Genomic DNA, 13,149 nt, shown 5'->3' on the forward strand with positions numbered 1-13,149 from the left:
GCAACTTTTAATGAAATGATTTGAAGGGCCATTAAGAGGCACTTCCCGTTATTAGGCAGTTCATCTGCACTGATAACTTCTTGGCAGCTGAGCTGGTCGGAGCTGTGGCCCAAACGCACACTTGGCTTTTGGTTTTGAGATACAACTCTTAATCTTTTAGTCATGCTTGAGGGTGGATGGCCTTTTCAGCTTTAACCCAATTTGCACTGCCTTGGAAGTGTAGCCAGGAGAATACACTCATATACTCGTGGGCTTAGAGGCCACAGCAGATGTCATTGGTCTACTGCCTGAGTCCCGCTGGTCCCATCCCAGGACCTTCCATCGGCGAGTACCTGGGAGCCCGTGCTGCTCCGCACTGGGCTGTCTTTGCTGGAACTGCTAGGGAGGGAGGCATTTTGGGTTGAATTGTGACCCCACAAAATGTGGAAGTCCTGGCTGGGCACGGCAGCTTACGCCTGTAATCCCAGCACTTTGGGAAGCCAAGGTGGGTGGATCACTTGAGGTTAAGAGTTCAAGGTCAGCCTGGGCAAAATGGTGAAACCCCGTCTCTACAGAAAATACAAAAATTAGCTGGGCGTCGGCTGCCCCGTCTGGGAAGTGAGGAGCACCTCTGCCCGGCCGCCCCGTCTGGGAGCCTTTCTGCAGGTGTACCCAACAGCTCCGAAGAGACAGCGACCGTCGAGAACGGGCCATGATGACGATGGCGGTTTTGTCGAAAAGAAAAGGGGGAAATGTGGGGAAAAGAAAGAGAGATCAGATTGTTACTGTGTCTGTGTAGAAAGAAGTAGACATAGGAGACTCCATTTTGTTCTGTACTAAGAAAAATTCTTCTGCCTTGGGATGCTGTTAACCTGTAACCTTACCCCCAACCCCGTGCTCTCTGAAACATATGCTGCGTCAACTCAGGGTTAAATGGATTAAGGGCGGTGCAAGATGTGCTTTGTTAAACAGATGCTTGAAGGCAGCTTGCTCGTTAAGAGTCATCACCACTCCCTAATCTCAAGTACCCAGGGACACAAACACTGCGGAAGGCCGCAGGGACCTCTGCCTAGGAAAACCAGAGACCTTTGTTCACGTGTTTATCTGCTGACCTTCTCTCCACTATTATCCTATGACCCTGCCAAATCCCCCTCTCCGAGAAACACCCAAGAATGATCAATAAATACTAAAAAAAAAAAAAAAAAAAAAAAAAAAAATTAGCTGGGCATTGTGGCACATGCCTGTAATCCCAGCTACATGGGAGGCTGAGGCAGGAGAATCACTTGAACTAGGAAGGCGGAGATTGTAGTGAGACGAAATCGCACCACTGCACTCCAGCCTGGGTGACATAGCGAGCCGCTGTCCCAAAAAAAAAAAAAAAAAACAAAAAACTGTGGCAGTCCTAATCTTTGCACTTGTGAATTTGACTTTATTAGGAAATAGGGTCTTTGTAGACCCTATTTGTAGAGGCAGGGTCTCACTTTGCTGCCAAGGCTGGTCTTGAACTCCTGGCCTCAAGTGACCCTCCCTTCTCAGCCTCCCAAAGTGATGGGATTACAGGCATGAGCCACTGTGCCTGGCCTTTATGTTATTTATTTATTTATTTATTTTTGAGACAGAGTCTCACTCTGTCGCCCAGGCTGGAGTGCAGTGGCACAATCTTGGCTCACTGCGACCTCCACCTCCCAGGTTCAAGATTCTCCTGCCTCAGGCTCCAGAGTAGCTGGGACTACAGGCATGCACCACCACACCCAGCTAATTTTTGTATTTTTAGTAGCGATTGCACCTGGTCCAAATTTCCCTTTTTTTTTGTTTTTTTTTGACATGGAGTCTCGCTCTGTTGCCCAGGCTGGAGTGCAGTGGTGCGACCTCACCCCATCCAATTTGACTAATGTCTTATTGATTGATTTTTTATTTTTTAGAGGCAGAGTCTCATTCCATTGCCCAGGCTGGAGTGCCATGGTACAATCTCAGCTCACTACAGCCTTGAACTCCTGGGCTCAAGCAGTATTCTCACCTGAGTGTGCTAAGTAGCTGGAACTACAGGGATGTGTCACCATGCCTGGCTTTTTTATTTGCTTGTTTTTTTGTAGAGTAGGGAGTCTTGAACACCTGGCCTCAAGCGATCCTCCTGCCTCGGCCTTCCAAAGTTCTAGGATTACAGGCATGAGCCACTGTGCCTGGCCCCCCACCCCAGTGTCCTTATAAAAATGGAAGTTCTGGCTGGGCGTGGTGGCTCATGCTTGTAATCCCAGCACTTTGGGAGGCTGAGGTGGGTGGATCACCTGAGGTCAGGAGTTCGAGACCAGCCTGGCCAACATGGTGAAACCCCGTCTCTACTAAATATACAAAAAATTAGTCTGGCATGGTGGTGCATGCCTGTAACCCCAGCTACTTGGGAGGCTGAGGCAGGAGAATTGCTTGAACTCGGGTGGGGGAGGTTGCAGTGAGCCGAGATCGCACCACTGCACTCCAGCCTGGGCAACAGAGCGAGACTCCGTGTCAAAAAAAAAAAACAAAAAAAAGGGAAATTTGGGCCAGGTGCAATCTCTACTAAAAATACAAAAATTAGCTGGGTGTGGTGGTGGGTGCCTGTAATCCCAGCTACTCAGGAGGGATGAGGCAGGAGAATCGCTTGAATCCAGGAGGCAGAGGTTGCAGTGAGCCAAGATTGCGCCATTGCACTCTAGTCTGGGCGACAACAGCAATACTCCATGTCAAAATAAATAAATAAATAAATAAATAAATAAATAAATAAAAATAAAAGGGAAATTTGGACACAGAGAGAGACACACATATGCAGCGAGAACACCACCTTAAGATGAAGGCAGAGATGGGGGTGATGCATCTACAAGCCGATGAGCAGTGGGGGCTAGCAAGTGACCAGAGGCTGGGAGAGAGGCGCAGGGCAGATTCTCAGCCTTGACCTTGGACTTGCATTCTGCAGGACTGTGACACAATGAATTGTGTATGACTGTTGTCTACACCTGCCACTCAATTTGCAGTATTTTGTTACGCCAGCCCTAGCAAACTATTATAACAGAAGGGTTTGCACTGGTCCTGCCCTCAGGGAGCATCCTCCATCAGTGGCTGATGGGAGTTGCTGGGTAACTACTCCAGCTCACCAGCCTTCCGGGTGGGGCGCTCTGTCTCTCAGAGAGTGGCCTGTTCACAATACAGGGACATCCTGTGTTGACCACCCTTCCCATCTCATTTCTCTTCTTCTACCTGTGTTTTTGGGATCATAAGCAATTTGCACTTGAATTTCCCTCTCCCAGTCTGCTTCTGGGACAGAGGCTCTGGCTAATCTTGACCACTGGTATGCATAGGTGTATGTGTGTGTGCATGTGTGTGCATGCCTGTGTGTGAGCATGTGTGTGCATGCCTGCGTGTAAGCATGTGTGTGCATGCCTGTGTGTGAGCATGTGTGCATATCTGTGTGCGTGCATGTGTGTGCCTCCGTATGTGCTTGATACGGTTTGGCTCTGTGTCCTCACTCAAATCTCATATTGAATTGTAATCCCCACACGTTGAGGGAAGGAAGTGATTGGATCATGGGAGCGGTTTCCTCCGTTCTGTTCTCATGATAGTGAGTGAACTCTCTCGAGATCTGATGGTTTTATAAATGGTAGTTTCTCCTGCGCTGACAAACACACTCCCTCCCACAGTCTTGTGAAGAAGATGCCTGCTTCCCTGTCGTCTTCCACCATGATTGTAAGTTTCCTGAGGCCTCCTAGCCATGCTTCCTATAAAGCCTGTGGAAATGTGAGTCCATTAAACCTCTTCCTTTATAATTACCCACTGTCAGGTAGTATTCTTTATAGCAGTGTGAGAACGGACTAATACAGTGTTTGTGTGTGTCTAGGAAAGGAACCTTCAGGTCTGATCACTTTTTGCCTGAGCGGAACCCTCAGCCCCTGGGCTGGTGCAGTTGTTCTTGTCTACAGGGTCCCTGGGTTGCTCCTCTCCCAGGATTGTGTCTAAGTCCCGGCAGAGAGGCTTCTGGGGTCCAAGGCCTTTTGGGATCATGGATGTAAGCCACCACCTTCCTAGGATGAAATGTCCTTTCTTTCTTTGTTTTTTGAGACAGAATTTTGCTCTTGTTGCCCAGGCTGTTGGGCAATGGCGAGATCTCAGCTCACTGCAACCTCCTCCTCCCAGGTTCAAGCGATTCTCTTGCCTCAGCCTCCCAAGTAGCTTGGATTACAGGCATGCGCCACCATGCCCAGCTAATTTTTGTATTTTTAGTAGAGAAGGGGTTTCACCATGTTGGTCAGGCTGGTCTTGAACTCCTGACCTCAGTTGATCCGCCCGCCTTAGCCTCCCAAAGTGCTGGGATTAGAGGCGTGAGCCACCGCGCCTGGCCGAGATGTCCTTATTTCTTTCTGGATTGTGAGTTTCAGCTCATCTAAGTCAATGCGGTGGTGGTGTCTTTTTGGCCCAGCCTGGACTCAGCTGCTGCCGGGTCCTCCTCAGCTGTCCTGCCCCCACACTCAGGGCCCCAAGAAACACACCAAAGCTCCCTCCCAGAAGCCGTTCCCCACTTCCAAGCCCCTTTCAGCAGCACGAGCAGGCCTGAGACGCACTGTGCACCAGGCTGGATGTTTTCTTCAGGGGACAGAGCTGGTCCTGGGATGTGGCAGCCAGACCTCAGGGACAGTGTGTGCTGCACAGACTCCCCTGCAGGCCGCTCACATGTTCTTGTTTCTGTTTCTGCTGTGATACCGACAGGATTCACCACCGCCACCCAGCACACATTCCTGGGCGCGATCATGGCAGGGGTCCCCCGGAGCAGGAAGAGAGACTTGGCAGGATGGGACTCAGGGCCATGTGATTTTTGAAAACTCCGTCAGTAATATACACACGTACGGAATAACTCAGCATGGAAACATTTGGAGTCAAAAATGAAAGTTGGTGGGGCACAGTGGCTCCCACTTTTAATCCCAGCACTTCGGGGGGCCGAGGCAGGAGGATCACTTGAGCCCAGGTACTTGAGACCAGCCTGGGCAACATAGTAAGATCTTGTACCCCCTCCAAAAAAAAGTGAAAGTTGTCTTTTTCTTTTTTTTTTTTCTTTGAGACAGAGTTTCCTTCTTGTTGCCCAGGCTGGAGTCAATGGCGTGATCTCTGCTCATTGTAACCTCTGCCTCCAGGTACAAGTGATTCTCCTACCTCAGCCTCCTGAGTAGCTGGGATTACAGGCGCACACCACCATGCCCGCCTAATTTTTATATTTTTAGTAGAGATGGGGTTTCACCATATTGGTTAAGCTGGTCTCAAACTCCTGATCTCAGGTGATCCACCTGCCTCGGCCTCTGAAAGTGTTGGGATTACAGGCGTGAGCCACTGCGCCTGACCAAAAGTTTTCTTTTGATAACCTTCATTTTGTCTGTTGGTGACATTTCGTTTCTCAGACTTTTATGTAAATATGGATGTAGCTATAGACAGATAATAGATGTAGATGGATATACATATAGATAGATAGCTCTGCTATGGATGTAGAGTAGATATAGATACAGACACGTGTGTAGATACAGAATTCAAGACATAGACCAAGATAGACATAGATATATGTATGTAGATAGGGATACAGACATATCTATGTCTATACATATAAATAGGTAGGATGGCATAGTTTTAAACATAAATGTCACTGTGCTTTCTGTGTGGCTTGGTTACTTTGTGTTATTACTGCACAGTTGTCTTGAAGGTCTTCTGAAACAGGCACATACCCCCCTCGTTCCTTCTAATCAATCCCCTGTTAATTGGCAATCACGTCGTTCCCATTTCTTTCTTTTCTTTTTCTTTTTTTTTTTGGACAGAGTCTTGCTCTGTCGGTCAGGCTGGAGTGCAGTGGTGCGATGTTGGCTCACTGTACACTCCGCCTCCCAGGTTCAAGTGATTCTCCTGTCTCAGCCCCCTGAGTAGCTGGGATTACAAGCGCCTGCCACCACACCTGGCTAATTTTTGTATTTTTTAGTAGAGATGGGGTTTTACCATGTTGGCCAGGCTGGTCTTGAACTTCTGACCTCAGGTGATCAACCTGTCTCGGCCTCCCAAAGTGCTGGGATTACAGGCATGAACCACTGCGCCCAGCCAAGTTGTTCCCATGTCTTTTCCATACAATGCTGCAGGAAACATAGTTTAGGTCATCATGTATTGGTGAAAGTATTTCTGCAGGACGGATTCCTAGAAGTAGAATTTCTGAGTTAAAAGGTAAGCGTATTTCACATTTTGGGAGGTGCTATCAAAAATTGCCCTCCAAAAAGGTTGAACCAATATGTGCTCCCAGAGTAATTTAATTTGAATATTAAAAAGGATGGTGACCTCATTTTGTACTGTAAGCTGGTGAAGTGGGACAGATCAGTTACATGTAAATAGGTTATTATGGAGCAAGCAGGTCTGAACCGGCTCCTGCTTGGCCGTGCTTGGTTGTTTATTTTCAATGCACACACTTGAAGGGGAAACAAACTGCTTTTCTTTAATATGTTTCAGAATTCAAAATGTTTCTGGTAGATACAAGATTTTTCCTTCTTCCATGGCAGTTTTGGAATTAGTGAGGCCTTCCTTTACCAATTATAGCTGATTATAATGGAAGATTGTCCACGCGCTTATGTAATTATAATTCAGAGACAAGAAATTGGGCTTTTGATTCCATTCAATCTGCAGGAGCCCTCCCCACTCCCCCCATGACCTACTGTTTAAACTTATGCCTGGAGTTGTGAAAATGCAACAGAATCACAGACTCTAAGGTTGAACAACACCGGAGTGGTTCTCTCTCAATTCTTTCTAATTTTTCCTAATTGAAGAGAAATGGTGCCAGTAACCAGGGTCACCTCGACATGAGAGGGGGTGGACTCTTTCGCTATATCTGGGTTTCTATGCTATAACATATTACTTTTGGTTAATAGAACTGTTTCTGCAGGCTGGGTGCGGTGGCTCATGCTTGTAATCCTAGCACTTTGGGAGGCTGAGGTGGGTGGATCACCTGAGGTCAGGAGTTCGAGACCAGCCTGGTCAACATGGTGAAACCCCGTCTCTACTGAAAATACAAAAATCAGTCAGGCGTGGTGGCGGGTGCCTGTAATCCCAGCTACTCGGGAGGCTGAGGCAGGAGAATCGCTTGAACATGGGAGGCGGAGGTTGCAGTGAGACGAGATTGCAGCACTGCACAGCCTGGGTGACAGAGTGAGACTCTGTCTCAAAAAAAAAAAAATAAAAAAGACTAAAGTAATTTTTAAAATTTTCTTTATTTTTGTTTTTTCTTTGTTTTTGTTTTTTGTTTATTTCTTTTACTTTTTCTTAAAGTTATTTTTATTTCCTAAGTTAAGCGTTGTAATTTTTGTGAAATCTCTGAAAGTTATGAAAATGAATTAAAGATTATTGAGTGAGAAAAAAATCAGAAAGAAAAAGAAAAAAGATGGAAGACTATTGGGCGAGTGTATTATTAAAAAAGAAAATGGTCAAATGGCAGTTGTTTTGGTGCTGGCAAATCTATGTAAGGATTATTTATTAACTTACTTTTATTCTTATTATTTATTTGATTAATTTTTTTTTGTAGAGACGGGATCTCTCTATGCTACCCAGGTTGGTCTTGAACTCCTGGCCTCAAAAGGTCTTCCTGCCTCAGGCTCCCAAAATATTGGGATTACAGGCATAAGCTGCCACACCAAGCCTACAATCATTTATTGATTAATGGTGTGAGACACCTTTGTGTTAGCATTCTCTAGAGAAACAGAAACAGGATATACATGCAGAGAGAAAGAGATTTATTTTTATTTTATTTTATTTCATTTTTTTGAGATGGAGTCTTGCTCTGTTGCCCAGGCTGCAGTGCAGTGGTGTGATCTTGTCTCACTGCAACCTCTGCCTCCCCGGTTCAAGCGATTCTCTTGCCTCAGCCTCCTGAGTAGCTGGGATTACAGGCTTGTGCCACCATGCCTGGCTAATTTTTGTATTTTCAGTAGAGACAGGGTTTCATCATGTTGGCCAGGCTGTTTTCGAACTCCTAACTTGAAGTGATCTGCCTGCCTTGGTCTCCCAAGGTGGGATTACAGGGGTAAGCCACTGTGCCTGGCCCATGTATCATTTCCTTCCCTTGACGGGAAGGACCAATGACCAGATAGGCCAATGTCTTGCTCTGGGCTCCTCAACGAGCATGTGGTCTGAGGGGTACTTGTATCTGCTTCCCTAGCCCATGGTTCAGGGCTTCTATGACCCACCAGCTGCCTCCCTTCCCAACAGGTCCTGCCCTCCACTGGAATGATCTGAGATCTTTCTTTGAGAACCTCTGAGAGCTGCCAACCAGAAAGGGTCTATCAAGACAATCTCTTGCAGACTTCATCCATCCACATGCACAAGGAAATGATAATGAGATTTCAGGTCAGTGGCTTGGAGAGAAAAATGACACAATGAGGATGGATGGAGGAAGGCAGAGAGGAGGGTTGGTCGTCGTATAATATTTGAATCTATCCTCTTCCCAAGAATGTGTCTTTTCCCCTGGAATTCAGGAGAATAGAGTGTTACTTTTTTATGGCCAGGAAAACATTAATAAAAAATGAACCATCAGTGAAATTAATTTCAGAGGTTTATGCATTCACAGCGACTAACAAGCCTGCACCTGCTCATCTGACACCCTTAAGCCGCTCCCCTGTGCCCCGCTTCCCACCCTCTTAAAATTCTTCTCCTTCTCAAAAGGTACCTGGTTGTCGCGTTGAGCAGTTAAATAAATGTACGGTGGGATAGAGACATGGCTTATTAATTAAAAACGCTGCTCTGCCACTTTACAGTTACGAAGAAACAAGCCAGGCTGAGCAGAAAGAGTCTGTCGGGGAGACGCTGGTTGGATTTTTACGTGCCGTGTAAAGGGCCCTGGTATAATGGGATGAGACAGACATTCATTAGCTTTCCCACTGAGCATCCCACACCTTCCCACACAGGGTCGTCTTCTCTCCTGCCCTCCCCCTCTCTCCACCTTGGAACTAGCACTTTTCTTGGATGGTAAGAGTCACTTATAGAGTTACTTATACAGTAAGAGTCACCTGGGCCCCCTCTCTGACTATCCCATCCATCTGCTGTTGCTGTTTTCAGCATTTTTCTCTCCAAGCCACTGACCCTAAATCTCATTATTTCCTTGTGCACGTTGATGGATGAAGTCTCTAAGCGATTGTCTCATCGGACCCTTTCTGGTTGGCAGCTCTCAGGTTGGAAGCTCACTGATTGGAATTTCTTGGTTAAAAACTTACAGAAAGTCCTGTGCAGTGGCTCACGCCTGTAATCCCAGCACTTTGGGAGGCTGAAGTGGGCAGATCACCTGAGGTCAGGGGTTCAAGACCAGCCTGGGCAACATGGTGAATCCCCATCTCTACTAAAAATACAAAAATTAGCCGGGTATGGTGGCGCACCCCTGTAATCACAGCTACTCAGGAGGCTGAGGCATGAGAATTACTTGAACCCAGGAGGCAGAGGCTGCAGTGAGCTGAGATCACACCATTGCACTCCAGCCTGGGCAAAAGAGTGAGGCTCTGTCTCAAAAAAAAAAAAAAAAAAAAAAGAGAGAGAGAGATGTAAATAATATGTACCACGTCTCTCTTTCCTTTTTTTTTTTTTTTCAAATTGAGGCGGAGTCTAGCTCTGTCAAGCAGGCTGTAGTGCAGTGGTGTGATCTCGGCTCACTGCAACCTCTGCCTCCTGGGTTCAAGCGATTCTCTTGCCTCAGCTTCCCAAGTAGCTGGGATTACAGGCGTGTGCCACCATGCCCAGATACTTTTTTTTTTGTTTTGTATTTTTAGTAGAGACAAGTTTTCACCATGTTGGCCAGGCTGGTCTGGAACTCCTGAACTCAGCTGGTCCACCTACCCTGGCCTCCCACAGTGCCGGGATTACAGGTGTGAGCCACCGTGCCTGGTCGACACCTCTCTTTTTTTAAAAAAACTTTTGATCAAGGTATATCATACATGTATGTAGTCAGTATAAAGTGTGCACATCTTAGTATGTGGGTGCCTTTATAGCCAGGAGTGGAGTTGCCAGGTGGTGGGATAGGTGTATGTTTCACCTTGTAGGAAATGTATAAGCAGGTTTTCAAAGTGCTGGTACCAATTTAGACTCCCACCAACTGTGTGTGGGAGTTCTAGTCGCTCCACATCTTTGCCAACACTTGGCATTGTTAGTCTTTTTAATTCTAGCAGTTCTGGTGGGAGTATAGTAGTCTTCTCTCTCGTTTAACTGGCTCATGCATATTCATCTTTCAGGTGTCGGCTCAGGTATTGTCTCCTCCAGAACTCATCTGTCTTAGTCAGTTTGTGCTGCCACAGACGGGGTGGCTTCAACAGCAGACATTGATTTTCTCACAGTTCTGGAGGCTGGAAGTCTGAGTTCAGGGTTCTGGTGGGAGCTCCTTTCCAGCTTGCAATTGGACGTTTACTCTCTGTGTCCTCACATGCACGGGGTCGGAGAGGGAGAGAGAGAAAGAGAGAGATAAGCCCTGGTGTTTCTTCTTTTTTTTTTTTCTTTTTGAGTAGGTGTCTCACTCTGTTGCCCAGGCTGGAGTGCAGTGGCACAATCTTGGCTCATTGCAACCTCTGCCTCCCAGGTTCAAGCGATTCTCCTGCCTCAGCCTCCCAAGTACCTGAGATTACAGGCGTGCACCACCACACCTGGCTCATTTTTTTTTTTTACTTTTAGTAGAGATGGAGGTTTCACCATGTTGGTCAGGTTGGTCTTGAACTCCTGACATTAGATGATCTGCCTGCCGCAGCCTCCTAAAGTCCTGGGACTACAGGCATGAGCCAACGCGCCTGGCTTCTTCCTCTTCTTATAAATACACTAATCTCATCATTAGGGCCACACCCCCATGACCTCAGCTAAACCTCATCACCTCCCAAAGGCCCCACCTTCCAATAGCATCACGTTGGGGATTAGGGTTTCAACACATGAACTTTGAGAGGACACAAACCTTCAGCCCATACATCTTCCTTGACCACTTAGCCTGATTGGTCTCCTTGCTAGCTCTGATCCTGCTGAAATGTAATTGCCTGTCAACTTCACCATTGTTCCCACTAGACTTGGAAGTCCTCAATGGCAGGGACTGTGCTTTGTTTATTGTTTGGAGTCTTGTCCAACTGCCATCCTGTCCAGTGAGGGCGAGGCCCGTTGGAGCAGTCGCTCGCTCCACCAGCGTCCTAAAGCTAAAGCTTCTTTTGTGCCAGACTCCTCTCCCAGCAGGGAGGGCAGGACCTGCCTCCCTGAGGTCTTCAGCTGTTGCTGTTTGCTCTCAGCTGCCTCATTTCCAGTGCTTGGGTAAAACAAGCCACCCTAGAAGTGTTGGCTAAAGCCTCTGATTTCTTCCTTTCCTTCCCTCTTCCCTCCTCTCCCCTCCTCTCCCCTTCCCCTTTCCCATTTCCTTTTCCTTCCTTACCCCTTTCCTTTCCTGTTTCCTTTTCCTTCCCTTTCCCTCCCCTTCCTTTCCCTCCCCTCTTCTCCTCCCCTCTCCTCCCCTTCTCCCCTCCCTTCCCCTCTTCCCCTCCCCTCCCCTCCTCCCCTCCTCTCTTCCCCTCCCCTCCCATCCCCTCCTCCCCTCCTCTCCCCTCCCCTCTCCTTTCTTTCCCTTTGGTGTGTTCATTGCTTACTGCAGCCTCAAACTGCTGGCTCAAGCGATCCTCCTGCCTCAGCCTCCTGAGGAGCTGGGACTACAGGTATGCATCATCATGCCCTAAAGCCTCTGATTTCTGTGGCTGGCCTCATCCCGCTTCATATCCCCATTCACCTCAGGCACCATCAGAAATTCAAGCCAAACGCACAGCGTGGTAGTATAACTAACAATACTGTATTTATACTTGAAATTTGCTAAGAGGGTAGATTTTAAGCGTTGTCACCACACACACACACACACACACACACACACACACACACAAAGCTAACTACGTGAGGTGTTGGGTATGTGAACTAGCTTAATCATGGTGATCACTTCATATACCTATATCAAAACATCAGGTTGCTTCCTTGTTGTAGATACCACCTTCCTGCTGTGTCCTCTTGAGGTGGAAGGGCCAATGAGCTCTCCCAGGGCTCTTTTATAAGGACTCTGATCCCATTCAGGAGGCTCTGCCCCCATGACCTAATCACCTGTCAAAGGGCCCCACTTCCTAACATTATCACCTTGGCGGTTAGAATTTCAACATATGGGCTGGACATGGTGGCTCACGCCTGCAATCCCAGCAGGTGGGGAGGCGGAGGAGGGCGGATTACTTGAGGTCAGGAGTTTGAGATCAGCCTGGCCAACATGGTGAAACCTTGTTTCTACTAAAAATACAAAAAATTTAACTGGGCGTGGTGGTGCACTCTGGTAGTGCTAGCTACTCGGGGGGCTGACGTAGGAGAATCGCTTGAACCTGAGAGGTGGAGGTTGCAGTAAGCCGAGATTGTGACAGTGCACTCCAGCCTGGGTGACAGAGCGAGACTCTGTCTCCAAAAAAACCCCCAAAAAACCAAAACACAAAAAACAATGTCTTTTTTTTTTTTTTGAGACAGAGCCTTGCTCTGTCGCCCAGGCTGGAGTGCAGTGGCGCCATCTCGGCTCACTGCAAGCTCTGCCTCCCGGGTTCATGCCATCCTCCTGCCTCAGCCTGTCAAGTAGCTGGGACTGCAGGTGCATGCTGCCATGCCTGGCTAATTTTTTGTATTTTTAGTAGAGATGGGGTTTCACCGTGTTAGCCAGGATGGTCTCGATCTCCTGACCTCGTGATCCGCCCGCCTCGGCCTCCCAAAGTGCTGCGATTACAGGCGTGAGCCACCGTGCCCGGCTAAAACAATTTCAACATATGAATTCTGGGAGGACATATTCAGACCACAGCCCTCTGCATAGAGCCACTGCTTACCCACACTCTCCTCAATGTAGATTGATCGAGCCCAGTTCAGTTCCTCTTGAGCTTGGAAGCAGAGCCGTGGGTACGGTGACCTCGAGAGACTCTCAGGGACTGGGATGCCCTCTCTGACCTCCAGGTGCCCTTCCTGGAGGAGTGTGAGCCTGTTCTCTGTGGTGGGCAAGACTCCAGGGAGAAGGCGTGTGGCTGTGTGGCCAGGAGTACAGGCTCTGAACCAGACTGCATATGTTCAAATCCCAGCATCACCACGAACTAGCTGTGCCTTTGCAAAGCTACTCAACCTCTCTGC

At 47.8% G+C, this 13,149-nt stretch overlaps 3 annotated features.

The window, feature by feature from the left end:
- Positions 1,400–1,903: an enhancer, noted in NCBI's record as "H3K27ac hESC enhancer chr16:9261169-9261672 (GRCh37/hg19 assembly coordinates)". NCBI's record gives its function as "activates a minimal SCP1, AML or CMV promoter by ChIP-STARR-seq in primed H9 embryonic stem cells {active_cell/tissue: H9 hESC(primed)}" and the evidence as "EXISTENCE:reporter gene assay evidence [ECO:0000049][PMID:30033119]".
- Positions 10,814–11,315: an enhancer, noted in NCBI's record as "H3K27ac hESC enhancer chr16:9270583-9271084 (GRCh37/hg19 assembly coordinates)". NCBI's record gives its function as "activates a minimal SCP1, AML or CMV promoter by ChIP-STARR-seq in primed H9 embryonic stem cells {active_cell/tissue: H9 hESC(primed)}" and the evidence as "EXISTENCE:reporter gene assay evidence [ECO:0000049][PMID:30033119]".
- Positions 10,880–11,174: a silencer, noted in NCBI's record as "tiled region #3816; HepG2 Repressive DNase matched - State 20:ReprD, and K562 Repressive non-DNase unmatched - State 21:Repr". NCBI's record gives its function as "represses a minimal TATA promoter and a strong SV40 promoter by Sharpr-MPRA in HepG2 and K562 cells {active_cell/tissue: HepG2 | K562}" and the evidence as "EXISTENCE:reporter gene assay evidence [ECO:0000049][PMID:27701403]".

The sequence above is a fragment of the Homo sapiens genome, chromosome 16 (genome assembly GCF_000001405.40).
Source record: "Homo sapiens chromosome 16, GRCh38.p14 Primary Assembly".
Lineage (NCBI taxonomy): Eukaryota > Metazoa > Chordata > Mammalia > Primates > Hominidae > Homo > Homo sapiens.